The following is a 26,238-nucleotide window of genomic DNA, read 5'->3' as shown; positions in this document are numbered from 1 at the left end:
TTTTTAAAGAAAATCATGAATAAATGAATGTTGTATCTATTGAGTGACTGGGGTCTGCCAGCACTATGGTCATGCCCCATAACCACAAATGAGGCTTCTGGGGTGGAAGGTTGCCTTAGGAAGCTCTCTTCAGTCATGGTAAACATTTACTTGTTAGTTTGCCGCTATCAGCTGAAATTCTCCTTAGTAAGAATGGCAGTAGAAAAGGATTTTGAAAAACTAGAATATGGAAGTTGCCATGGATCATCCAGTTCTGGGTTCCATGACTTTCTGTAAAGGGTCAGATAGTAAATATACTTGGTTTTGCAGGTCATATGGTTCCTGTGTCAACCACTGGACTTGGAAGTTGTAGCATGAAAGCTTTCGTAGACAGTACACAAATGAGTAGGCACAGCAGTGTTCCAGTAAGTTCATTTTCATAAAATGTACAGGGCCAGATATGTCGTGCCTGCAGTAGTTGCTGAACACTAATCTAACAGGATCCCTCTATATATTTTTTAAGAAAAAAGACAGTAGTATGCCAGCAAGGCCTATGCTCTTGGAGTGGTCTAGAGGAAGAGCTAAACTAAAAAGGCAGAAACAAAATGTGAGAAATTGGAATAAATAAATCACAAAGGGAGTAAACTTTGAGGGAATCAATGAGTATATCATGTTTTGATTGGAGCCTTTATTGAACTCAGCCCTCTGCTGCTGAGTTTCCCCACCAAGAAAAGACATACTCAAAATAATATTTTAAAACACACACACGGCCGGGCGCGGTGTCTCACACCTGTAATCCCAGCACTTTGGTAGGCCGAAGTGGGCGGATCATGAGGTCAGCAGTTTGAGACCAGCCTGGCCAACATAATGAAACCCCATCTCTACTAAAAATACAAAAAAAAAAAAAAAAAAACAAAAAAAAACACAAAACATTAGCCAGGCGTGGTGGATTACAGGCTTCTGCAATCCCCGCTACTTGGGAGGCTGAGGCAACAAGAATCACTTGAACCTGGGAAGTGGAGTTTGCAGTGAGCCAAGATTGCACCACTGCACTCCAGCCTGGGCAACAGTGCGAGACTCTGTCTCCAAACAAACAAAGCACACATACACACACACACAAACTTTTTATCTTGATTTGAACCCAAAGAAAGACAAGTGTGTGAAAAGACTTTTTGGACATGGAAGATCACTACTTAACATGTATCTAATGATATAGCCTCATTGTTTAATTCTATTAAATATTTCTAATTCTAATAAATATTTGTTGCATGAATCTAAATGTAGTGTGCCATAGTATGACTTTGCAAACAGAAAATAAGCTAAACATCACTTTTAGGAATTCCCTGTCAGTTGATGGGGAGAAAACAATGCCTATTCAGTGGAATTCAAGTGGTGGTCTGTGGACCATTGCTGCATGGTGAATATTCAACTACTGTCCTGGGAGAGGATTAAGACAGTTGTTGAGAGTAAGTGTTTCAACACTTTTAGTGCAATTTGACTGTGCCAAAGCAAGTGGACTTGCTTTATTGAAAGAGTTACAGAACAGGTCAAATTCACATGATGAGTCACAAATGGCAGGAACTATGTAATTGTTGAGCACAGTAGGGGCATGTTCTGAAATAATTAGTCAGATTAAGAAGCTTGCGATAGATTATAAATCAATGTAATGTTTGCTTCATTGAGAAATTTTTGTTATATATAGAAAAGCAAAAAATCTTGTTGAACTAAACATTATGCTTAGAGAAATTGTAAAATGTAATCATTCCATAAGGGTAATAACTTTAATTTTTTTATAGGCAATAATGTGAAAGCTGACTAAAAACAACTGTTAATGTATGTGGAAGTACATCTTTATTGAGGGTAAAAGTTTGGTGGAGAACTGTTGAACTATAGAACAATCTCAGTGTTTCCAAGGTAAGCAACCAATTTGATATTGACTTTAAGATGAAATTGGACAACGAATCTTTCTCATTTGTCTAGTATTTTGGATATTTCAATTATCTTAATATTGCTTTGCAAAAAAAAACATGTCTTTTCACAGCAGATAAGGTTGAAGGGCAAAATCCTCAGTTAGAAGCTTGGAAGAATACAATTTCTGCAGACAAGTTCCATGACTTAACAACAATTATTAATGAAGTGGTTGGTGATCTTGATATTGGACATCTGCCAAAATTTATTATCAAATCCTTACAAATTTGTACAACATTTTGATGTTTTTCTGTCAAAAGAAGATCAATGCCTAATATTAATGTATCCCTCATTCCTTTCATTGAAAGATAATTTAGATATCCTCTTACCTAAGTTAGAATGACTATTATTAAAAAGACAAAAAATAACAGATGCTGGTGAGGATGTGGAGAAAAGGGAACTTTTACACACTACCGGTGGGAATATAAATTAGTAAAATCAAAAAATAGAACTACCATATGATTCAAAAATACCACTACTGGGTATTTATATAAAGAAAACAAAATCAATATTTCAAAAAGATATCTGCACTCCCATGTTTATCGTAGCACTACTAACAATAGCAAAGATATGGAATCAACCTAAGTGTTCGTCAATAAACCAATGGATAAAAATGCAGCGTATACACACAATGGAATAATATCCAGCAATAAAAATAAGGAAATCGTGTCATTTGCAGCAGCATGAATGGAACTGGAGTTCATTAACATAAGTGAAAAAAGCCAGGCACAGAAAGACAAATATTACAAGTCATCACATATGTGTGGGAGCTAAAAATGTTAATCTCCTGGAGGTAGAGAAGAGAATAATAGATACAAGAAGATGAAAAGAGTGTGTATGGCAAGGGTGCGGGAGATGGACAGAGGTTAGTTAATGGGTACAAACATACAGTTAGATAAAGGAATAAATTATACTGTTCAATATCATAGTAGAGTGATTATAGTTAACAACAGTGTATTGTCTTTCAAAATAGCAAGAAGATTTCAAATGATAAACACAGAACATGACACATACTCAAGGTAGCAGTTGCCCTAAATACCCTGTCTTGACCATTATATATTGTATGCATGTAACAAAATATCACATGAATCTCATAAATATGTACAAATATTATTTATCCATAAAAATTAAAAGTATCATTTACTTTTAATTATAATTTTACAGGAAATTTATTTATCTGATTATTGCTGAAGGATTGAAGTACATTTTGAAAACATCACTCGTTTCCTTTGGGATAATGGCTAAAAAATTATTATCATTGCGATTGCTGACATTTCTCAAAAATCAATTGCTATTTCAGTCAAAATTTTACTTTAAATTGGTTGTTAAAGGACAAAAAGTAGCAACCACAGTAGCAATTTTCTGAATTAACCTCTTGCGAGTATATATAAAATATATATAATATATAATTATATATAATAATACATAATATATAATTATATATAATATATATATTATATATAAAACATGTTTTCATCCATGGTTGTTGGCATAACTCCCATAGTCTTCTGTTATAATGTTGGAGTGCTTTAAGTCTCAGGAGCAGACCTCAGAAAATATAATCTCTCTCTCTGACCTTCCCCTGCCCTCCTCTAATCTTCCCCTGCCTTTCTGATTGTGGGCCATAAGATCCTCATTTGAGAAAGGTCCTGCCATACCCTGGAGGAAGGAATGCTGCACAGAGGTGCTAACAAGAATCTGAATAGACAGGCCTTGCCGGGTTTCCCCACTCAGTCTATTGGCATTATAATAGATATTATAGATCATACCCTTTGGTCTAATAACATTTCTACATGTTTGTTATCTTGCCTATCCAATGGAGTCTTCATAAAAGGCCTGAAAGGACAGGATGTATAGAGCTTCTGGAGAGCTGAACATGTGGAGGCTGACAGGAAGCAGAAGAAGAACCTGTCATGTGCCAGGAGGATGACACACCCCAACTCCACAGGGACAGAAGCTCCTGTGCTCTTCCAGGCCTCACACTATATATCTCTTCATCTGGCTTTTCATTTGGATCCTTTATTTATTTATTTATTTATTTATTTTTTATTTTTTATTTTATGTATTTATTTTTTTTGAGACAGAGTCTTGGTCTGTTGCCCAGGCTGGAGTGCAGAGGCGCAATCTCCGCTCACTGCAAGCTCTGCCTCCTGGGTTCATGCCATTCTCCTGCCTCAGCCTCCTGAGTAGCTGGGACTACAGGTGCCCACCACCACACCCGGCTAATTTTTTTTTTTTTTTTTAAGTAGAGACGGGGTTTCACCGTGTTAGCCAGGGTGGTCTTGATCTCCTGACCTCATGATCCGCCTGCCTCAGCCTCCCAAAGTGCTGGGATTACAGGCATGAGCCACTGTGCCTGGCCCCCATTTGGATCCTTTAAAACATCCTTTGTGATAAATTGATCAACATAAGTAAGTGTTTCCTTGTGTTCTGTGAACTTCTCTAGCAAATTAATCAAACTCAAACAGAGGACTGTGGAAACCTCAACTCGAAGCCAGTCAGTGAGAAGTTCTGGAGGTGTGGAGTTTCAACTGGTTGGAAGGAGGAGGTGTTCTTGTGGGACTGAGCTCTCAACCTGTGGTTGCTGAGGCCATTTCCAGGTAGACAGTGTCAGAATTGAATTGAATTGGAGGACTTCCAGTTGGTGTCTGCTGCAGAATAGATTGCTTGCTTGGTGTATGGAGAGAAACGTGCACACATTTGGTCACAGAAGTCTTCCGTGTTGATTGTTGCTGTTGAGAGAACAGAGGAAAAACACACCTTGAGTTGCTCTTTTCCACACTTATCCCCCATGTGCACACTATCAACAAACACCAAGTACAGTTTCTGAAATTCTTTTCTTTTTCTATATAGCTGTTCTGACTTGCTAAATTTATTAATAAACATTTTTTTACTTCTAATGTGTATAAATTTTGCATTTTATTTTTCCAGGAACTTTTTTAAAACAATTTCTTTTACAAAAATATTTATTTGAAAAGGAATGGAAATTTCAAAAATGATCCTAAAGCAGTTAGCTTTAGAAGCATTGGCCTAAATAACACGAATAAACAACAGATCATGATAAGTGTAATAGTAAATGTAAAGAGTAAATTACAAAGGCATAAAGAGAGAAGAAAGACCCCACTCACTACTTGCATAACTCTTGAAAAATGCCAACAATTGGGTTTCATTTTTTTTTACTTGACCCTCTAGATGGAGCCACCAGGTAGACAGAGATCACCAAGCTGGAGAAGTTTTCGGACTGAAAACCTTAAGCACTAGCAAATTATAAGGAAGCGTAGCACTTACTTATGAGGGAGGGTAACACTTACTCCTTGTGCTGCCAGTGTACAAAGATGGGGTCAGCTCTCGCTCCTTCAAGTTCTTCCAAATAGTCTATGCTTGGCTTCCTTTTGGAGGTTTCCAGATATTCTTTTAACGGATACATGACTTACTGGGGAGGGGACAGTTTTAGATTTTAAATCTCTGTATGTATATCTCTAACTTTTATTTCAAATATACAGGATACATTAGTGTGTGGGAAGAGGGTGTATATTTGATGTTTACATAAGAAGTGGTATCCAAGATGGGTACCGGTTGAATTGTGACCTTATGTGTCATTTATTACAACAGGAGTGAGCCTTTCAGGTGAGCAGATTGTTTGAGGGGAGTTAGAGTCCTTACATATGTCATCAGCACAACATTTTCACAGACTGCTGGGCAGAATTTAGACAGCTTGAGGAAGTGATGACAATGGCTGGAAGAAGAGTAGAAAGGGAGAGACACAGGTGAGAATGACAGACATTCAGGAAGTGGGTCAGCAGGAGCAAGATATGGCACCACAAAATCAAGATCAACAGGATAATAGAGTGTCAAGCTGTATTTAAAACTTACGAACATGCAAAACTATTCAATATATAGTTTAATAGTACAGAAAGTTTAAGTCAAGCTACAAAGAAAGGCAGTTGACTAATGAACATATAATTCAGGAGAGTGGCTACCGAGGACGTGGTTGTTTGGTGAAGGGGGTGGTGGCCCACAGAAGGAGGCTAAGGTAAATACTGCTCTGTTTCTTAAGATGAGTAATGGCCATGCTGGGATTCTTTAATTCTCTTTCTGCTTCGAGTACACGTTTTATGTATTTTCTCTAGTGAGTCAGATATTTTATTTTATTAAAATCGGAAAAGTAAACAGACACAGAAACCTTAACTTATACTGATAATTTTTGAGCTACTGTGGCCTTTCCTATAAGGCCCTTTCCTTTCTTTATTTAAATTTTTTTTTTAAAAAATGTGTTTTAATAGGAAGTTCCTATAAAGAAAGAACTGCTGCCTTGATGCCCAAGTTCAGATCCCAAATCTCAGAGCCTCTTCCATCCATATCCACATCCCCAGGCTGCTCTTCCCTAAATCCAAGCCTCGCCGCTCACCTGGGGGCTCCATTCCTCCCTGTTTCTGCTCATCACAGCTGCACATCTGGGCTGTCAGCCCCTGAGCAGCCAACAAGATCAGGAGTGGGGTGAACACAGCACATGGCCAAGGCAGTGGAGACTTGTTTACTGTCGCCATGGGAACCTCTGAAGGTGCTTTAAGGGGGTGGAGCCAAAAGCTGGGGCAGAGTCAGAACAGCTGGGGCAGCCACACGTCTCTGACCCCTCCCAACCTAGCGATTTTGGGAAGCCTTTCTGCTTGGCTCTTTAGACCCAGCTTGCCCCTCTGTCCTGGAAATGAGCCTCAATTATTTTCTCTCCAAAATTTGGGACATGTGGCTCCCCTGGGCAGATGGTGGTGAGATGGGTGAGAAGGAACCAAGGGCGGAGGGAGACAAGGGCTGTTGCAGGGTGGGTCTCCCTGGATCAGGGGCCACTGGAGAAGAACTTCCTGTGATGGAACTTCACAAATGGGGGTGGGGAAGCATGAGGTCACAAGGGTCAGATTGTGACCACCTGGAGTGAAGCTCAGGATTTGCCAGCCAGGTAGAGGGGATTGATAAAAAGCTGGTTGCCAGGGAGTGATCCCAGCAGAGAGAGGCTGGGCATGAAGGGATGGGGTGATGATATGTCAATTAGGCTTCAGCTCCTGCTCCAGGGCCCTTTCATGGAGGCTTATTTCCTAGGTCCTCTCCCAAGGACACCCTCTCCATGCTCTCAACCGCATCCTCCCCTGAGTCTCACGGTCAGACTACAGTCTATGGCCTACATCTTCCCTCTCCCCGAGTCCCAACCCCAGCTTTCTCAGTTCCTGGCTGCAATGGTCCTAGGCCCTCCACTCAATTTCCAAACCTTTTGCCTGGTGCCACCTTCTCTACCCAGAACTTTGGCCTACCTGTCAGTCCTGCCCTGCGTGTCACCTCAGCCTGGAAGTCCATAGGACTGTGATGAAGATGACTGCTTGCATTTTCTGAATCACTTTGTCGATGAGACATGCATCCTATTAGATCTAACAAAGCTTCACAGAAAGGTTGTTTTGAAGTTGACACTGAGGAAGATATAAGTGCTCTAGGATCAGTATGTGAGGCTGCCACAAACATGCTATAGTCTGCACATTCTTGCAGAGAGGTTGCAGAGTCTGCTTGGGAGAGAAGCCTCAAAAACATGGCTGGTGTCTTGGCAGAGTTTGCTCTGGCCCCCAGGAGGGTGTACAAACAGCCTTCATGAGAAGGTGACTTGCTGGCCACTCTTAACCACTAGAAGAAACTGATGCCATGGAACTTTGAAAAATCAGAAAGCAATTCCACAAAAGAAGAACCTCTGAAGATAGTAGAGCCCAATGAAGATAAATGACATCGCCCATAGGAGGGAACAGTGGTATCAACCTAAAGGGGCTCACTGCCCTATGTGCTGGAGGCCAATACTATGACAATGGGTTTTTGAGAAAATAAAAGCTTTGCATTGAGATTCAACCCCTAAAGAGACAGGAGTCAATCTCATCTGTGTCCCTGTGTTGGTTCCAAGGCAGTATTTAGAAAGATTCATGGGGTAGATACTGGGATTAGCAGGTGATTGTAGAAGGTAAGCAGAGTCTGAAAAGTCCTTAGGCCTGTGCAGTTATCTCTTCATGCTACTCATGAGTCATATGTGCAAATTTGGGAGGAGTGAGAGTGAAAGAATCAGTGAAAATTCAGGCTGCAAATTCAGGCTGCAATGTCAGCAAGCTTGTTAAAGTCAGCCATCTTGGTTCTAACAGGTATCAACCAGTTTTTGTTTTTTTTGTTTTTTTTTTTTTTGAGATGGCATCTTGCTTTGTTGCCCAGGCTGGAGTGCAGTGGTGCAATCTCGGCTCACTGCAAGCTCCACCTCCTGGGTTCACGCCATTCTCCTGCCTCAGCCTCCTGAGCAGCTGGGACTACAGGTGCCCACCACCATGCCCAGATAATTTTGGTATCAACCAGTTCTTTTATCAAATAAGCAAAGAGAGTTTCAGTGGATTTTTTTCTTTTTTTTTTTTTCATCTGCAATTCTTCAAAGCAAGAATTTCTGTTAGTCATTATGAACTCTCTGGGACATTGTTTCAATAGAAGGCCTTGAAGCATCACAGACGTCTTACAGTGAAAAAATTCTGGGCATATGATTATTGCTATTATATTCCTGACATATCTGCTCTTTATAAAGAGAGGATATGAAGTGTCTCAAAAGTAGACCAAGAAGAATATAAACAACATCCCAAGAGAAATCTAGGTAATTTTAAATAAACTATCAGATTATATTTTATTTAAATCTTGCATGGTACTTAAAAAAAACTACAGAAAAAAAGAAAAATGAAATAATCAAAGTTTCAGAAAAGACAAAAAGTACAAGGAAAGAAATCAATAATTAGAAGGGAAATTACACAAAACTGAGTGGTCTTATAAATTCCACGTTAGAAATTCCCTGTTAGTACTCTTAATAAGAAAGCCGATGCAGTTCTTATTGTCGCCTGGGGCTGGGGGGAGCAGAAATAATTTATGCAGAGAGAATGAAAGTGGCCACCTGAGTAAGGTCCTTAGAAAGTAAACCATCAGCTCAGCTTTGATGGCCATCTCCAGAAACATTCACCAAACAGTTTCACAAAGAGGTCATTCCAGCTGGGGGGCCTCTTTGGTCCTTACATTGAAATGGAGGAATTTCCTACCATCTCTCCACAATGACCCAACTTGTGATTTCTTTCTCTTCCGGAAATGTAAGGTTTGAGCTTATACCTGAGGAAGAGACTCCATGTAGTACCAGTGAATCATCAAAATGCTCAGTAAATTAATGATCTCAGAGCTGTGCCCTCTTTTGGCTACAGCTGTCACCTTAAGCAGTGGATTCTTCCAGATTGAAGAGAGATGCTTTCCACATTGGTGCCCCTGACACTGGGTTTTCCTTACAAATGTCCAGTATGATCCCACCAACTGCAGGATGCCCACCCCTACACAGTCCATTGAGACCCTCTCAATTTGGCTACACAATCACCAAATAGGATTTGGTTCAGGATTACAAAGTATGTTTAACATTCAAAAATCAAAACAATATGCCATATTAGAATAAGGAACACAAACCACATGATTATCTTAATAAATGGAGGAAAAGAATTTGAAAAAAAATCTAACCCATAAATGATAAAACTTCAACAAACTGTAAAAAAAAAGCAAGTCTTCATCATTCTAATAAAGAATACCTATATAAAATTCACGGATAACATCACACATAATGGTACAGAACTGGATACTTTTCCCCTATGTCTGTGAACAAGTCCAAGATATCCACTTTTGCCATTTCTATTCAAAATTATAGTAGAGTTTTTTACTGAGTGAAATAAAGCAAACATAAATTATAAATAGGAAAATAAAAGCATCCAGTTTGTCAAGGAAGAAATAGACTGTTTTTATTCACAGATGTCAAGATCCTGTAGAAAATGTTATAAGTTATAGATTAGCTTAACAACTTTGTAGGATAGTAAATCAAACTCCAAAATTATGTTTCCATATACTAGCAATAAATAAATCAAACATGAAATAAAAATTTCATTTATAATCGCATGAAAAAGAATAAAAGTTACAAATGTAGCAAAACATTTGCAAAACCTATACATTGAAATTTATAAAACATTGCTGAGAGAAATTTAAAAGGTATACATAAGTGTAAAGACATGTCATATTCATTGATTAGAGACTAATTCTTGTCAAGATCACAATTCTCCCCAAATTAATCTACAAATTCAAACCAATCCTGTAATTATCTTAGGAGGCATTTTTGTCAGAATGAACAAGTTGATGCTAAAATTTATATGGATATGTAAAGAACTTAAAATATTCAAAAGAATATTTGGAAAGAAGAATGAAGTTGGAGGACTTACATACTTGTTATCAAAATTTGCCATGTAGCTCCAGTAATCAAGACATCTTAGTATTGCCACAAGCTCAGGTATATAGAGCAACGAAAACTGTAAGACTCTTGTCTCATACTGCACAAAAAATTAACTGAAGTGGATCATAGGTCCATATATAATAGATAAAAACCACAATGATATACTACTAAATACCCACTACAATGGCTATAGTAAGACAGTAGCTTGTGTTGGTGAGGATGAAGAGAAACTGGAATCCCCACACATTGCTGGTATGAGTTTAAAATGGTGCAGCTCCACTGGAAGTAAGTTTGGCAGTTTCTTAAAAAGTTAAACTTACCATGCAACCCAGAAATTCCACTTCTTGGAATCTATTTAAGAAAAATGAACTCATGTTGATACAAAGACATGTCTGTGAATGTTTCTAGCAGTGTTATTCCTAATAGGTCTAACTGAAAACAATTGAAATGCCCATCGATTGGCCAATGGTTAAATAAATGTGGTATACCATACCATGGAACACTGTTCTATAATTAAAAGCACACAACTAATATATGTACTAGAACATGAATGAACCTTAAAAACACTGTGCTAAGTAAAAGAATCCAGACGAAAATAGCCTATGTATTGTGTAATTCCATTTATATGCAATGTCTAGAAAAGACAAGTTTATAGAGACAAAGCAGATGATTGTGCCTAACTAAAGCTGGGGATGGAAGACAGGATTGACTGCAAATGGATGTGAAGGACCTTTTTTGGGGAGTATGAAAATGTACTAAGGTAGGATTGTGGTGGTGCTTGTGCAACTATAAATTTAGTCAATTTGAATTGTACACTTACAGTGGGCACATTTTATAGTAGGCAAATCTTATTTTAATTAAGCTGTTAACTGTGAAAAGAAAGAAGCAAAAAGTTGTTCTCCCTTTGAAATGTTAAAATAATATGTGTTCTTAGAGAAAAATAATAAAACAATTCCTTTTTTATTCTCTAACTTTTTGTGTGTCTGCAAAAAGAAGTTGGTTATTTTGATTAGAGATGATAAGTAATATAAATATTATATTATATATTATAAATGTAATTCACATATTGCATATTGATAACAAATTATATATTTTATATATTTATAATATAATTATGTTTTATATATTTATAATATGAAGTACTATATATTACATTTTATAATATATATTTGTTTAATTTAATATAAGGATAATTAATATAAATATTTAATTACACAAGGTATGATAATTAGAGAAATATGAATATGAATATGAATATATAATTTTATGCTTAAGAAATGTTTAATAGCTTATTCATGGGACAAAGTTAATATGATATGTATGTATTATTTAATATGCTGGTAAGTTAGTTGTTTTTTAAAGCTATGAGTAAAAGTTTTAACATTACTTATTTTTATACTTGTCTCTGCATGCCTGAATACATGCAGAGACATGTATTCAATTTTTACTCCAAATTATTACAAAAATGACGTAAAACAGAAAAAAATGAGTGTCATTTTTATGTAACATGACTGGCCTATTTTATGCTTAGATTGTAGAAGTTTCTTTTTGTGATTTAATTATTCTGTTAAATTTTGGTGCCTTTTGTACGCACTTAAATCAGTTTTCAAGAAACTTCATGTTTAGTTTTCTTAATTGATTCTTAATTAGAACAGTTACTTACAAAATATTTATAATGTTGCCTGAAATTATTTGACTTTGTATCATGTCCTTTATAATGATTTTTTTTACCCTTCCAAAATTCAGAATAATTTTGCTCTTTCACCCTATAAAATAAAGGAAAATAGGAATAATTAGGTTTGTTGAAACTCTTCAGGTTTTAAATACTTCAAAACTGTTATGAGAGTCCTTCAACTTTGGGATTTAAAAACATACAAAAGATTTTCCAAACATGTCAAATCCAGAAGAGAGCTGATGTTAATTTTATATTAGTAAAAAGTATTACTAGAATTAGCTTTTAGTAATCATATACTTTTCAAGTTAAAAGAAGTATGTTCCTTTTTAAGCATACACACAGAAACAGTAACTATTAAAAGAATTTTCTCCAAGTTTCTAGATTCACAAATCCCTTTTTACTTTTTGTTTATAAAAAATCTCAGTAAGTGTTGACCCAATTATGTGGGAATCATTAGGGACCTACTGCTTATTTTAGTCTTTTGTTAGCTCTAGTAGCCAAGCTATATCGACCTTGTTTAAGATCTATAACAGCAATAGCAAAATGTATGAAAACTTCCATTGACTTAGTTCTAGGATCTCTACTACACTTAACAATTTCTCATCTTACACAGATTCTTTTATTGACAGTCATGTGACATCTATGAAATATTACCGCCTTACCCTTCAAAGGTCTACATCCATTGCTGCTTCCCTCTGAACCCAGGCATCATCTTTTTTATTTTAATTTGTATTTTATTTTGTTGATTGATTTATTTTTTATCTGATGAAAGAGGACCCAATAATTTCCAGCCTTTTGGGAACTATTCACAATCATGCAAACCTTCTAGCCAAGATAAATGTGATTTTATTTTGATTTTATGTGGTTCATACTGAAAAAGAAAAGCTAAAAATTATAAAGCCATTTACGTGATCAGAAACTTAAATTTGGCCTTGCAATACAAGCTTCTCTCAGAAATTGAATAATTCCAGTGGGCTGACTTAATTGCCCTCACTCAGATATGTCAGCTGCCCAGAGATAAAGAAGGTGTTATAGCACGTATGATTTTTAGGTTAGTTCATGACTTTGAAATGCTTTAGAAGAAAAGAGATGTCCTGACTAATACAAGATGGTGAATTAAAACCCTAATTTGCCTGCAGACAGTGCGCTCTGGATAAATATCAGATTAGCAATGTCTCAGCAATGGTAGGGATCAATGATCTACATCCTGATGCCTGACTAGTTTGCTTTGGCCAAAAGAGGGTAGAAAGAAACAGAGACGCAACCCTTCATATTTGAGAACTGGTCTAGCACTGTTAGTTCTTGGTGTTGCTAGGAGTAGAACAGGCACTCACAGCTAGGTCATAATATTCTCTGGCTGAGTATAAACAATTTCACTGAGTACCAGCATCAGAAAAGGCCACTCTGTGATGGTGGTGAATCAAGACAAAAAGAAGACCACTCCAGTCATGTCTGAATGCAGACAGAAACGTGAACCTTATCTAAACTACACAAATGACCAAACACTCCTCATTCCCAGCTAATATGTGTAACAGTGGCTTATTCACCAACCACAGCTTTAACCTTACTTCCTTCCAAATTGTAGATCACATTTTTAAAGTATTCAATCATAGTGTTAACACCACTTCCTGATGGCCTCCACTTCAGAGCAAAAGTCCGATTCTGTAAAACATCCCCTAAAGCACTGGTAAGCACTGAATGTTTACATTTCTCCAAATTCATATGTTGAAATTCTAACCCCCAAGGTGACTGTGGTAGGAGCTGGGGCCTAGGGAGGTGTTTGAGGAGTGAAGGTAGAACTCTTATAAATAGGATCAGTGTTTTTATAATAGGGACTCCAGAGAGCTCTCTCACCCTCTTTCTGCCATGTGAGGAAACAGCAAGGAATTGGCATTCTGCAACTCAAAAAAGGATCCTCCCTGGACCCCAACCATGGTGGCATTGTGATCTTAGACTTCCCAGACTTCAGAAATGTGAGAAATAAATTGCCGTTGTTTATAAGCCACCCAGGCTACAGTACTTCGTTATATAGCAGCCAGAGCTGATGAAGACAGGAATCTAACTAAAGTCCCACATCCTATACTGTCTTTTTTAACATGCTCTTACTGAGAGACACCACAGTTCTCCACAGTGTTTTCCCTTATTTCAATGAGTGAGAAACAACTTGTTCAGCCACAGGTCTGTTTCTGGTGATGTTGCTGTAAGATGCCACTGTGGGCACACTGTCTATGGGTTAACCCTCCTCTGCAAGGAGCAGTGCCTCTGTTGCTATAGGCTACTGCTTCAATAAAGTTGCTGTCTAACACCACCAGCTTACCCTTACGTTCTTTCCTGGGTGAAGCCAAGAACCAGGCTAAGCCCCAATTTGGGGGCTTTTCTGTCCTGCATTGCTTTGAGGTAGGGTGAGACTCCTCATTAGAGCTCAGAGAAACCCTCTTGCTCAAAATTAGAATAACTGGTAAATCATAATAAAAAATAATAAACATTTACTGAGCCCTCACTATACCATGCATTCTTCTGAATCTTTTGTGATTTTAACCTTATAAAAACTCAGGGGCAGGTGCTACTCTTAGCCTTATTTACTAAGGGTAAGACTGAGCTACAGAAGTGTCCAGGGAGCTTGCCAGAAGTCCCAGAAATAGGAGAAATGATGCAGTGCATTGGCCTGGGCTATTCTGGTCCAGGGTCCATGCCTTTACACACCACAGTATGTGTCCCAGTGAGAACCTGGCCCTTCCCTCTCCTTCCATGTCCAGAGCTCTCAGCCTGGTTCACAAAGCCCTTATGCTTGAATTTCTCTCCTTGAAAGTAGCAGGACAATGTTGGGGCAGTGAGTTGAAAAGGAAATTGAACTGTCCAGCCCTGGCAGAGACTCCTTCAAATTGTGACATTTCACATTGCTGCTAATTTCTCTTTTGCACAAAGTTGTGAACTAAAAGCAGGCTGAAGCCAAGGGTGGCTTGCAGGTTCGACCCATTCCGGTCAGAGGCTGCAGTTGCTGTGAATGTATCTGAGTTTCTCACTGACTTATCTACCTCTGCCAGTGGAAGCTGGACCACTTATGATTCAAGCCTTGAGTCATTAGTTTTCTTCCACACCCATGGAAATGACAGCTGGGTTGATTCCCAGTGTGTGTCAGGATGAAGCCTGGTCCCCTGTGGTGTTTAGTGTTCCTGAGGCCCTGAGCCCCCCGCAGAGGATGCATCAAGGGTGTAGTGACTGTTCGTGGGGCAGCGACATCCCAATAGACAGCATGCTTCTTTCTGCAAAAAATTGATTTCTCTGAGAAAAAGCATCGCACATCCAACCCAAAGCCAAGTCTCATTTCTTTCTCTTCCTCCTTCCCCCAGAGTTGTTGCATACCACAGCCTTGCACACATAAATACCTTTATTACACAGTTCTGTCTAATGAATGATAAATCAACTTATCTCCTATTCTACAAGGATGAACAGGAATGGTCTCACTGTTCATCTTCCTCCCAGGGTCCCTTCCTCAGGATGTCCTGCTTTCGTGTGTGTGTTTTATCCCCATAGGTCGGCTCAAGGAGAGGTTCTAGAAAGTGGGCACAGAAGTCCCTTCGGTTGGAAAACACTGGCTCCCATGACTCTGGTGGCTCAATGGCACAGTGAGAGACAGATAAGCATGGGCCTGAGCCTGCCTGTTTCCATAGGAGGCCTATAGCCCAGGCTGGTTCTGATGCTGTACATCCTGGAACAGACTGCATTTCTCTGAAGGAAACAGACCCAGAGAACAGAGGCACCATGCTCTCGGGTTCTCAGACAGTCTAAGCAGAGCAGGTCCCAGAGCCCAGAGCTACTGGACTGACCCCAGTCCTCTTGATGCCAGAGACAATATAGTCACTGCAAGAATTAAAGAAAGAGGAGAGAAACTTCAAGGGTGGCTTTACAGTCAACAGGGACAAGTTTATTTTAAATAAACCTGAGAGGGGCGGCTGGCCAAGCTAGGTCAGAGCCACACTCTCTTATGACCAAGAGTTTTTAAGAATTCAGGATAGGAGAGTTTATCAGAGGCTTGGATTGCTTCTGTGTCTCTTTGTTGTGCTTATCTGGGAAGGAGAGTTGTGTGTCTGTTCTCATATATCTTTCTGCAGCTGCAGGCATAGCCCCCTGAGTCTGCTTTTAGCTTCCCTATCTTAGTGCACCTGAAGGGAAAGGAATGTGCTTATTAAGGCCCACTGTTTTACTGGGGCCCGTTGTATGAGGGTGAACTTTGGCAGTTACCCAAGCGACTTGCCCCCTACTTTCCTCTGTGCCCGAGCTGTCTTATCTGTGTTTTACTGTCTGCTCTTTCTGGCTGCTTGTAGTTAGAAGAGAAGTGATTTCCTTGAAATGCATGAGGCTAGAAGGGGAGCTGGAGCTTAAAGTGGCGGTGTTTGTCTGAGATGACGGTGCTCCTGCTCTGTCAGTCTCAGCAGCATTTATTTCTTTTTCCTCCTCCTCTTTCTCCAGCAAAGGGCAGGTAGTTTAGTTGGTGGTTGCCTGGCCTCTCTTTAGCAAAACTCTAGCCCACTGCAAATCTCCCTGGGCAGTCGTGACTGGACGTGTGTTCACTGAGCCCCTGGGAGACAGGGCTGTGTCCTGAGTTCTGGGTCATCACGGCAGGCCCTGGAATTCAGCTCCGGGAGTACTGATCTCTGGCAAAAGCTATGTGCTTAAGGAAGGTGGACCCTCCCTAGGCCCAGGAGATGGATCTCACTAATCTAAACCAGTTATGGCATCCCTACTCCTCTTACTGCTGATGGTTTCAGGGACAGGCAGGTGACTGATTTCTGACCAGTCAGTTGTAAGTGTACATTTGCTGGTGTGTGTAGGGGGGGTGTCTGGAAAATTTTCACCTTTACAAAAATCCATGGGGAAAGAAAATCTGCCCATTTTTTGCCTTCACCAATGTGGTGAGAACATGATTCTTAGAGGTACTGCAGGCATCTCGTACCCAGGTGGGGTATCTTGTTCTCAAATGCCGATGCATTGGGGAAGACAGGTTGCAGCTGAGAAAGCAGTATTCACCCTTGAAAGTTCCCAGGGCTGCTGAGCCAACCTGAAATCGCCTTTATCCACCTTCCTGGGAGACAGGTTAACAGCATTCTCTCCTAGGGGTCACGGATCCTGGATTTTTTGTCCCTGTGTAGGAAGCGCCAACACATAGATACACTTGGCCTGAGAGAGGACAATGGCCTCCCAGGCTTGGGGACTGCAATGGGAAGGAAAGGGGGCTCTTCCTGAGACTTGGTGGAAGCTGCTATCAGCAGAGGCCCTTTGAATGCTCCAGTTACTCCATTGTTATTCATCTAGTGCCCACAATCCAAAAGATTATTCATTTGCTCAGAGCCGAAAGAGGAAATGAAATGGAAGGGAAGAAATGGGTTGGAGGCGCGGAAAAATGCACAAATGGCTAAGCTTAGGCTGACATCTTGTGGCTAAGCCCAAAAAAGGCACTTCACTAAGAAATGAACTGAGCAGCTGGGCAGCTCAGCAGGGGGGCAGCCTGCAGTCTGAAAACGGAACAGCAGCCTTTTAAATCCACTCTCACTTTTTCTTCATTCTCTTTTTTATTACATGTCAAATTTCTTCAGCAGTCTTTTTCTGTACTGTATAGCTATTAGAAAGAATATTTTAACTCTAATGACTACAGACTTAAATTTATTTCTGGCTAAAATACATTGTTATCTTGACTAATCCTGCTTCAAATTAAAACTGTTCACCCAAAATCAATTGATTATCTTTTTCTTTAAATTAGCAATGACATGCAATTGACTTGAGTAATCGTATAGTTTTCTACCTAGAAATTAATAAGCTGTGCCTCATATATTACATTTTTAATGACTAGGAAAACACCTTTTTCCCATTTTACACAGGTGGAAGCCAAGTGATGGCCAGGGTCACAGTGAGCAAATGGCAGATGGGATCTTGCATCCTAGTCCCTCAGAACCTACAGCCTGGAGGCGGAGTTAATGGTCACCACTTCCTTTGAATGCATAGGAACAAGCAGTCTGCATGTTGTCTCATTTAATCTTTAAAACCACCCTAGTGAGGTAAATTTTGTCTTTCCTGCCTTATGAATGAGGAAACAGAAATCATGGCTCTAGAGATTGGCTCCTGGGAAACTGAAGCTGGCTTATCTACTTCTAAAACCCATCCTTCTCATCTACCTCCCCTTTTAGAGATAACTCACTCTTCCCCCAACCCCTTCTTCCTTATCTTACACATACCTCTCCTACATCTGAGCTTCCAAGAAATTGTTAGCATTTGTTGCTATAGTTCTCCTTGAAATATTAGCCGATGAAGAATTATTATTGTTTTTCCCAGGGACATTTGCATAACAATAGATAAGGAGCTCTTGAACACAGAAAGCCTTTGGGGTTTAAAGGGAGCATGTCAGACTGCAAGAAATAATGGGACAAAGACATTTGGGGGCCAGGGAACAAAGATCTCCTTTAAATCACCTCACAGAGACTGTTCTGTCCTTGGCAGCCCAGGGCTTCCAGACATCAGGTCACATATCTGATGTAATTGAAGATCCAACTAAAGGCAAGCAGTTGTTTATTCAGCATCCTGGACGGATTTACCACCAGACTAATGCAAATGCCACCTGATAAGAGCTGGAAGATGGCCCTAAGCAAACAGAGGGTTCCCCCCACCCCTCCCACCACCATTATTTTGAGAAACAATATCTTTTATAATTCCAAAATACAAGGGGTCAGAGCATTTTAATTCTAATAAGCTTGAAGTTTTCATTTTGCTTAAAAAAATTTGAACAATGGCCAATTAGCTGGTGAGCAATACTTTATCTTTGGCACAGAATTGAACTCATGAAATACTTATTAAGGGCCAGGCAACCAGTCACCCTGCTAAGTACTTTTTCTAAATTACTTCATTTAATCCTGACAAAGCTGCCTATAAAGTAGCATTGGTACACTCATTTCACAGATGAGAGAATTGACTGTCAGTGGGATTGAGTGGCCCATCTGAGATTGCATAGCTGGTAAGGGCATGGTGGGATCTAAGTCGTTTCTAGATTCCAAGCTCTTGCTTTCTCTACATCCATAGTATTAATCTCTTTTCTTGTACTAAAATAAAATATTGGCGGTGAGCTTTTTACTTTCAGAATCACCCTCCTGCCTCTTTGGCACACAGGTAAGAAGGGTAGATAGAGACACAGACTCAGACACCGGAATCCTTTCTGTTATTTGTAGTTATAACCCAGGTTCCCTGCATTAAAGGAGCCCCCTTGTATGAGTCAGTTCTTGCATTGCTATACAGAAATACCCGAGACTGGGTAATTTATGAAGGAAAGAGGTTTAATTGGCTCACAGTTCCACAGACTGTACCAGAAGCACAGCAGCTTATTCTAGGAGGCCTCAGGGAGCTTTTACTCATGGTTAAAGGCAAAGTGGGAGGAAGTGTCTTACATGGAAGGAGCAGGACCAAGAGAGAGAGGGGGAGGTGCCATAAACTTTTAAACAACCAGATCTCATGAAAACTCACCCACTCTCATGAGAACAGCACTGAGGGGATAATGTCAATGTATCCATGAGAATTCTGCCCCCATGTTCCAATTGCCTCCCACCAGGCCCCACCTCCAGCATAAGGGTTTACAATTTGACATGAGATTTGGTGGGGACACAGATCCAAACCACTGAATTCTACCTCCTGCCCCATCCAAATCTCATGTCCTTCTCACATTGCAAAATACAATCATCCCTTGTCAACAGTTCCCCAAAGTCTTAACTCATTCCAGCATTAAATCAAAACTTCAAAGTCCAAAGTCTCATCTGAGACAAGGCAAGTCACTTCTGCCTATGAGCCTGTAAAATAAAAAACAAATTAGTTACTTCCAAGATATAATGAAGGTATAAGCATTGGTATACTCCTGTTCCCAAAGGGAGAAATCAGCCAAAAGAAAAGGGCTACAGGCCCCACACATCTGAAACCCAGCAGGGCAGTCATTAAATCTTAAAGCTCCAAAATAATCTCCCTTAACTCCATGTCTCACATCCAGGGCACACTGGTGCAAGGGGAGGGGTCTCAAGGCTTTGGGCGGTTCCGCCCCTGCGGCTTTGCAGGGTTCAGCCCCTGTGGCTGCTCTCATGGGTTGGCATTGAGTGCCTGTGCCTTTTCCAGATGCATGGTGCAAGCTGCTGCTGGATCTACCATTCCAGGGTCTGGAGGATGGTGGCCCTCTTCTCATAGCTCCACTAGGAAGTGTCCCATGGGGACTCTGTGTGGCTCCTTTTTTCTTATGCAAATTTCTGCAGCCCACTTGACTTTGTCTCCTGAAAACGGGCTTTTCTTTTCTACCACATGTCCTGGCCACAGATTTTCCAAACTTAGTCTTTACTTTCCTTTAACATATAAGTTCTGGTTTTAGGTCATTTCTTTGCCCGTGCATATGAGATAGGTTGTTAGAAGCAGCCAGGCCAAACCTTGAACACTTTGCTGCTTAGAAATTTCTTCCACTAGATATTCTAAATCCTCATTCTCAATTCAAAGTTCCACAGATCCCCAGGGCAGGGGCACAATGCAGCCAACCTCTTTGCTAATGCATAACAAAAGTGACTTGCTCCAGTTCCCAATAAGTTCCTCATCTCCATCTGAGACCTCCTCAACCTGGACTGTATTGTTCATATCACTATTAGCATTGTAATCAAAACAAATGTATAAGTCTCTAGGAAGTTCCAAACTTTCTCTCATCTTCCTGTTTTCTTCTGAGCTCTCCATACTCTTCCAACCTCTGCTGGTTACCCAGTTCCAAAGCTGCTTCCACACTTTCAGGTGTCTTTAGAGCAATGCTCTACTCCTTGGTACCAATTTTCTGTATTAGTAAGTTCTCGCATTGTTATAAAGAAATACCTGAGACTGGGCAATTTATAAAGAAAAGAGGCTTAACTGGCTCACAGTTCTGCAGACTATACAGGAAGCAAAGTGGCATCTGCTTCTGAGGAAGCCTCAGGGAGCTTTTACTCATGGTGGAAGGCAAAGTGGGAGCAGATATTTTACATGGCAGAAACAGGGCCAAGAGAGAGAAGGGGAGCGGTACTACATGCTTTTAAACAACCAGATCTCATGGTAACTCACTCACTTTCATAAGAACATCATCAGAGGGATGGTGCTAACTCATTCATGAGAACCCTGCCTCCATCATCCAATCACCTCCTATTAGGTCCCACCTCCAAAACTGGGGATTACAATTTGACATGAGATTTGTTGGAGATGCAGATCCAAAAATATCGCCCCCTTTTCTTTACTGTCTAGGGGCCCCAAGTCTGAGCCCCATATGGGTGATAGCAGGTTTCTGGGAACCCTGAGGAATACTGGAAGGTTCCATGGGTCCACTTGCGCCTTCAGTATCTCCTGCTCCAGGCTGAGGCTCAATCCCCTCCCTCTATCTCTTCCTGAAGCCTGTGATCCCTTTTCTACTTCATAATTATCATCTCTGGTCTGTTTTCCCAAAGCATTGTACAAAAGATGATTTCCCAAGAACAAATAACCCGTAGCTTTTGAACACAACAGACCTCACTGACTCCTGATAACACAAGGGAATTTCAATGCAGAAAAGGGAAAATTAAGATAAAATACCAGGATACCCTTTTCCTGGAATTTCCTAGAACTTGTTTCTTCTCTCGGAACCTCTCTGCTTCCCACTCTGAGAGTTGAAGCTTTTAATGGCCTTCAGAGTGGGAAATGTACAACCCCTGCCTCTGATCCCTGTCTAGAAAACACAGTGTCAATGCACATCACAATAGTTTCAAGGGGAGCACTCTACTGAGAAGTTGGGAAGATGGTGGCCTTTTACGTTTTCCTAAGTAGGGCATTTCTTTCAGGCATGCACAGTTGGCATGTAGCTTACTTCCCCTGTTGAGTGTTTCTAGGGCACATGGAGTGGGCTTGTGCTTGTTATCACCTGAACAACTGAAACAACGTGACAAAAATATCTCTTTGGAAAAACAAGACAGTTTGCCCCAAATACCCATTTCATTTCTACCTTTAGAACCACAAGCAAGACATGTTTTGAATACACTGTTTTTTTGTTCTCACATTATAGCTGTATGTGGGTCGCAAGTAATTGAACTGCTCTAGGCCTCCAAATGAAGATGGTAAAACATATCCCACAGGGGTCATGTGAAGTTAAAATAAGGCAAGTGTTCAAAAGCATCTTATAAACTACAAAACACTACAGTTTATAAACTATGTATAACCACATAAATGGGAGACATTATTATCTCCCTTTTGTTTTCAGAGTTCCTTAACCCAGTGCTTCTAGAGTTGATGAATTAGTTACCAAGTGTGGTACTATATACATGCAGGTACATTGGCTGAAATCCCTCACTGTATATTTTACATTAATGCATTTTTTTCTCTTATATGATTGATATTTTAAACTATGTGGGTATGCTTTTCAATTGTATGTTTCTGTGTATATGGCTTTTCCCTTTTCTTTCTAAAGCATTTTTATTTTTTATTTCTTTGGTTTCAGAGGAGAAAAATGGAGTGAGGAAATTAGGATTAGGATTATTACAGAAGATATTTAAGGAGAAAAAAGTAATATTCAGCTCTTGACATGAAATGTAATGTTTCTCTTATCCCTCCTATAAGGCCAGACTCTTGAAAATCAGGTTTTACTGGGCCATAATGTATTTCCTAACTTTGGAGGACTCTTATCAATATTTTTCCAAGGTAGTGAGGATACTCTTTTTGTTTATGGCCACTAGGATGGGAGACAGATAAACCAAGTGAAGGAAAAAGAAGCTCAGATAGGAGAGTTAATGTCCTGGAGTAGAAGGATATGATATGGAATAAAGGAAAGTTTGAAGACTCATGCTTCTAGGCCCATAATATCAAGGTTAAAAGAAGGAAAGGAAACAGAGAGAGTAATAGGTCAGGTGCCTGAGATCTGTTCTGAGATGAGGTTGGATCTTGTGGAGGGGCCAGGTTTTCCTAAGCTCATCCAGCTGGGTATGCAGCATGCTTCCACATTACGCTGGATGGACTCTGCAAGCCTCTGTCTCTGCATATGGCCATCATCAACTTGGTGTTAGGCAAGAACAGAGGGAAGTAGACAGGAGTATCTAATTGTTGCTCTAAAACTGATGTAGAGCAGGCTTCACTCCCAAAAGAATTCAAGAGAGAGCTGGTGGTGGAAGAAAGGAGCTATATTGAAGCAGCTGTATTACAACTCTGTGATTTCAGGGTTAGCGCATAGGCAGTGCACAGAGAGTAGCCACATGGGATGCTGGCAGTGGTATTTATACCCACTTTTAATGACATACAAATTAAGGGACAGGTTATTCAGAAATCACTAGAAAATGGGGAGTAACCTCTGGGTTTTGCCATAGAAATGGGTGGCAACTTGTGGGCATTGCCATGGCATTTGTAAACTGTCATGGCACGGCGGTAGGGTAGTGTCTTGGCAGTAGTGAAAGGTTGCTTTCCTGCCACTTGCAGTTTCAGTTTTGGCAGGTTTCCAATTTGGACTGGGAGACAAAATGAGTCCTGGTAGTATCCTATCTCAAGACAAAGAGCTGCTTCCAAGAATGCCCTGCCCCCAATCTGGAGTGGTCCCATATAAGCAGTTTTCATGGTACTGCATTGTTAGGCAGAAGGAGCGAGGGCTTGAGTTTGGGCATGGCATGGCTGAAACATGAAGTGTTTCCACCCCACCTAACTCCCCTTCTCAAAGAAGGAAAGGAGAAATAGTTGGGAAAATAGTGGAGGATACTTCCAGAGGGTGTCACTGTGATGGAGTGTGGGTTCTGTCCTGGAGGGCTGCCAAGTGACCACGTGAGCCAGAATCACAGGAGAATCACCATAGTATTCCTGGGGCGGGAGGGGCTCACAGCACCAACCAGAGCTGACGTGGGGCCCAGTCAGCAGAGACCACTGATGGGTGCTACTCAGTTGTGCTGGCCACAGATGTCAGCAGCTGATGGCAGAAGAATGACCTCTGCCCCAGAGACCACTGCCAAGGACTCTGAAGGCAGATATGAAAGTTTATATCACCCCCTACCATCTTGACCAAGATAGGGTGCCATGGGAGCTCTGGGGTGCTGTTCATGTTCTATTTCTTGATCTGGGTGCCAGTTATGCAGGTGTGTTTACTTTGGGAAAAATCACCCAGCTAGACACATATGATTTGTACATATTTCTGTATATATATACTTCAAAAAGATGACTTAAAAAATCTATACAAATCATCTATACTCTCCCCTACAAAATAAAATGCTACACACACACACACACACACGACACACACCCCCAGAAGGCAGGTAGTTGTGAGAAACATGAATTCAATTATAGATAAATAAAAACATATTATTGTTCTGCACATTTGAGATTAATGTGAGCAAGAGGATGTACTTCATGCTCTTTTGCTAAAGAAAGTGAAACAAAAATCAGTGAATCTGTGAAAATGTCAAAGCATAATGGTAGTGATGCTATAAGGAAAAACTCAAGCTGGCTCAATATTTAATTTTAGAGAAGTATCAGCAAAGTTCTCTAGATTAACTTTTAGGCTACAGGAGCTTAAGAACAGATTCAGGCATAATTGTATCTGCATGCTGTCTTTATAGATAATTATTTGTTGAAACAAATTTTGTTTATTTTTTTTGGAAACATTACGTACTTCATCATATTCTTGGACATCTTAAGCCGCTTTTATTGGAGTTTTCCCTGAACCTAGCCTGAACCTTTCCTGAAATAGCCCAAAATTCAGCCAGGTGAAGTGAAAAGCACTTGTGATTTGAACAAGGAAGACCTGTGTTAACTTCTGCTCCCTTTAGCACTCAAAAGATCTTAAAAGAATTGCATAACATTTTGGGCTACGCAGTGTAATTCTGACTGTAACTGTCTGAAGTTAGGTCAAATTTTCAAGTGAAGAACAAAGTTCTATACAAGACTAAATTCACTTCAGACACCAGCTGCAAGCTTGGGAGTTCCTGAGCCATTTCTGATAATTTGCTAGAACTAAGAACCAAGAACATCACTATGCTTACTATCATAGTTTTATTATAAAGGAAACAAATGAGTAATAGTCAAATGAAGAGATGCACAGAGTGATGTCTGGTAGGGTCCCAAGTGGGAAACTTACAAGTCCTCAGGACTCATTGTCCTCCGCTAACACATCAATGTATAATTACCAACCAGGGAAGCTCATTTGAGCCTCGGGTGTCCAGATTTCTTTTATTAGGGTCTCATTATGTAGGCATATTTGATTGAATCATTGTCTACATAGTTGCACTCAATCTTCAGCTCCAATTCTCTCTAAAGAAATTGGACTGATATCACGTGGCTCAAAACCCCAGCCTTCTAATAATGTGGTTGGTTTTTGCAGCATGATACCCCATCCTGAAACGATATTGAGGGTCTTCCATGAATCACCTCTTTAGTGCAAACTCAGTGTGGTCCAGTACACCCCTCATGAATAACACAGACGTACCTATTACTCAAGAAATTCCAAGGGTTTAGAGGTTTCCTCCCAGGAACCAGTGGGAAAGGCCAGCCAAATTCTGTATCCTATAATTGGATGTTTGCTCACATAGTGTGATGTGAGGATTCTGCGAGATGAGGATTATAGAACAAAGGACACATTTTCATGACTTTAGATCCATCTTGAGAAATGAAAAGACAAAGCACGTCCAAACTCTGTAACTTGAGTGGAGCTTCATCATGTTCTCTTTGGGCATCTTGCTAGAGAGTGGAAAGCAAGCTGAGTTGGTCACATCAAATTCAATTGTCCTCCAACTCCTGGGGCTTAATAGCCTGCCTTTGAAAGAGATGACCCGCACAATGTTTCAGTCAGGTGCTCTGTGGAATGTGGGGTAATTCTTTCCTTATACTCAGCAGTGTTGAGTTCCTGCATGAGTAGTCAGCAGATGGTGTCATGCTCCTGTACCCTTTTGCCCTTGCAGCCACAGTTCACAGGGCCCAGGGCCCACATTCCCCTGCCAGTATCTGAATTGCTTTGCCTGAGGCTTTCTGTAGCCATTGAAGCCTCTTTTGCCAATTGGAGATGACTGGGATATAATGCACCTCCTCCCCTCATCCAAGCAGCCCTCAACCAATGACTTATAGAACTTAGTGTATGCATTCCCTAGCTCCATCCCTCCTTAGATAATCTAATTCTGAGGACTGTGTTTTGTACTTGTCCCCAGACTTTCCCCAGGCATGCTCTGTGACAGCCGGTTTGACAAGACATTCTTTATTGATGATGTTCTCCCTGTCCTTCTTCCCCACTCCTCTTCCTGGTGTTTCCTTTATTGCCCCAATAAGCTAAATACCCCTTTTAAATTCTTAT

At 40.3% G+C, this 26,238-nt stretch overlaps 3 long non-coding RNA genes across 6 annotated transcripts in view, besides 1 other annotated feature; 2 read left to right on the top strand and 1 right to left on the bottom strand.

Annotated features, from left to right (window-relative positions):
* The window catches only part of LINC01722 (long intergenic non-protein coding RNA 1722), an 87,316-nt gene that overhangs the window by 9,808 nt on the left and 51,270 nt on the right, over window positions 1–26,238 (top strand). Inside the window, exons 4-6 of the long non-coding RNA NR_109868.1 lie at window positions 1,776–1,893; window positions 17,804–17,980; window positions 21,991–22,083. This is a non-coding gene — a long non-coding RNA (long intergenic non-protein coding RNA 1722). The remainder of the gene's footprint in view (window positions 1–1,775; window positions 1,894–17,803; window positions 17,981–21,990; window positions 22,084–26,238) is intronic.
* LOC105372535 (uncharacterized) lies at window positions 1,808–6,901 on the bottom strand. Of its 4 annotated transcripts, XR_937274.3 has the most exons (5): window positions 6,356–6,901; window positions 5,611–5,683; window positions 5,259–5,380; window positions 4,430–4,679; window positions 1,808–2,197 (listed from the first exon to the last, which is right to left on the bottom strand). It is a non-coding gene; the product is annotated as an uncharacterized LOC105372535 (long non-coding RNA). The 4 variants fall into 4 exon arrangements; XR_937273.3 differs by lacking the exon at window positions 1,808–2,197 and having other exon boundaries at window positions 3,098–4,679; XR_007067534.1 differs by lacking the exon at window positions 1,808–2,197 and having other exon boundaries at window positions 4,239–4,679; window positions 5,259–5,683.
* On the top strand, window positions 5,749–7,835 carry LOC102606466 (uncharacterized). Its single transcript, NR_109872.1, has 2 exons — window positions 5,749–5,980; window positions 7,238–7,835. It is a non-coding gene; the product is annotated as an uncharacterized LOC102606466 (long non-coding RNA).
* Window positions 15,994–16,194: a silencer, noted in NCBI's record as "peak4148 fragment used in MPRA reporter construct". NCBI's record gives its function as "represses an SCP1 promoter by STARR-seq MPRAs in K562 erythroleukemia cells {active_cell/tissue: K562}" and the evidence as "EXISTENCE:reporter gene assay evidence [ECO:0000049][PMID:32103011]".

Source organism: Homo sapiens, chromosome 20, assembly GCF_000001405.40.
Source record: "Homo sapiens chromosome 20, GRCh38.p14 Primary Assembly".
Lineage (NCBI taxonomy): Eukaryota > Metazoa > Chordata > Mammalia > Primates > Hominidae > Homo > Homo sapiens.
This window is presented reverse-complemented; position numbering and strand designations above follow the sequence as displayed.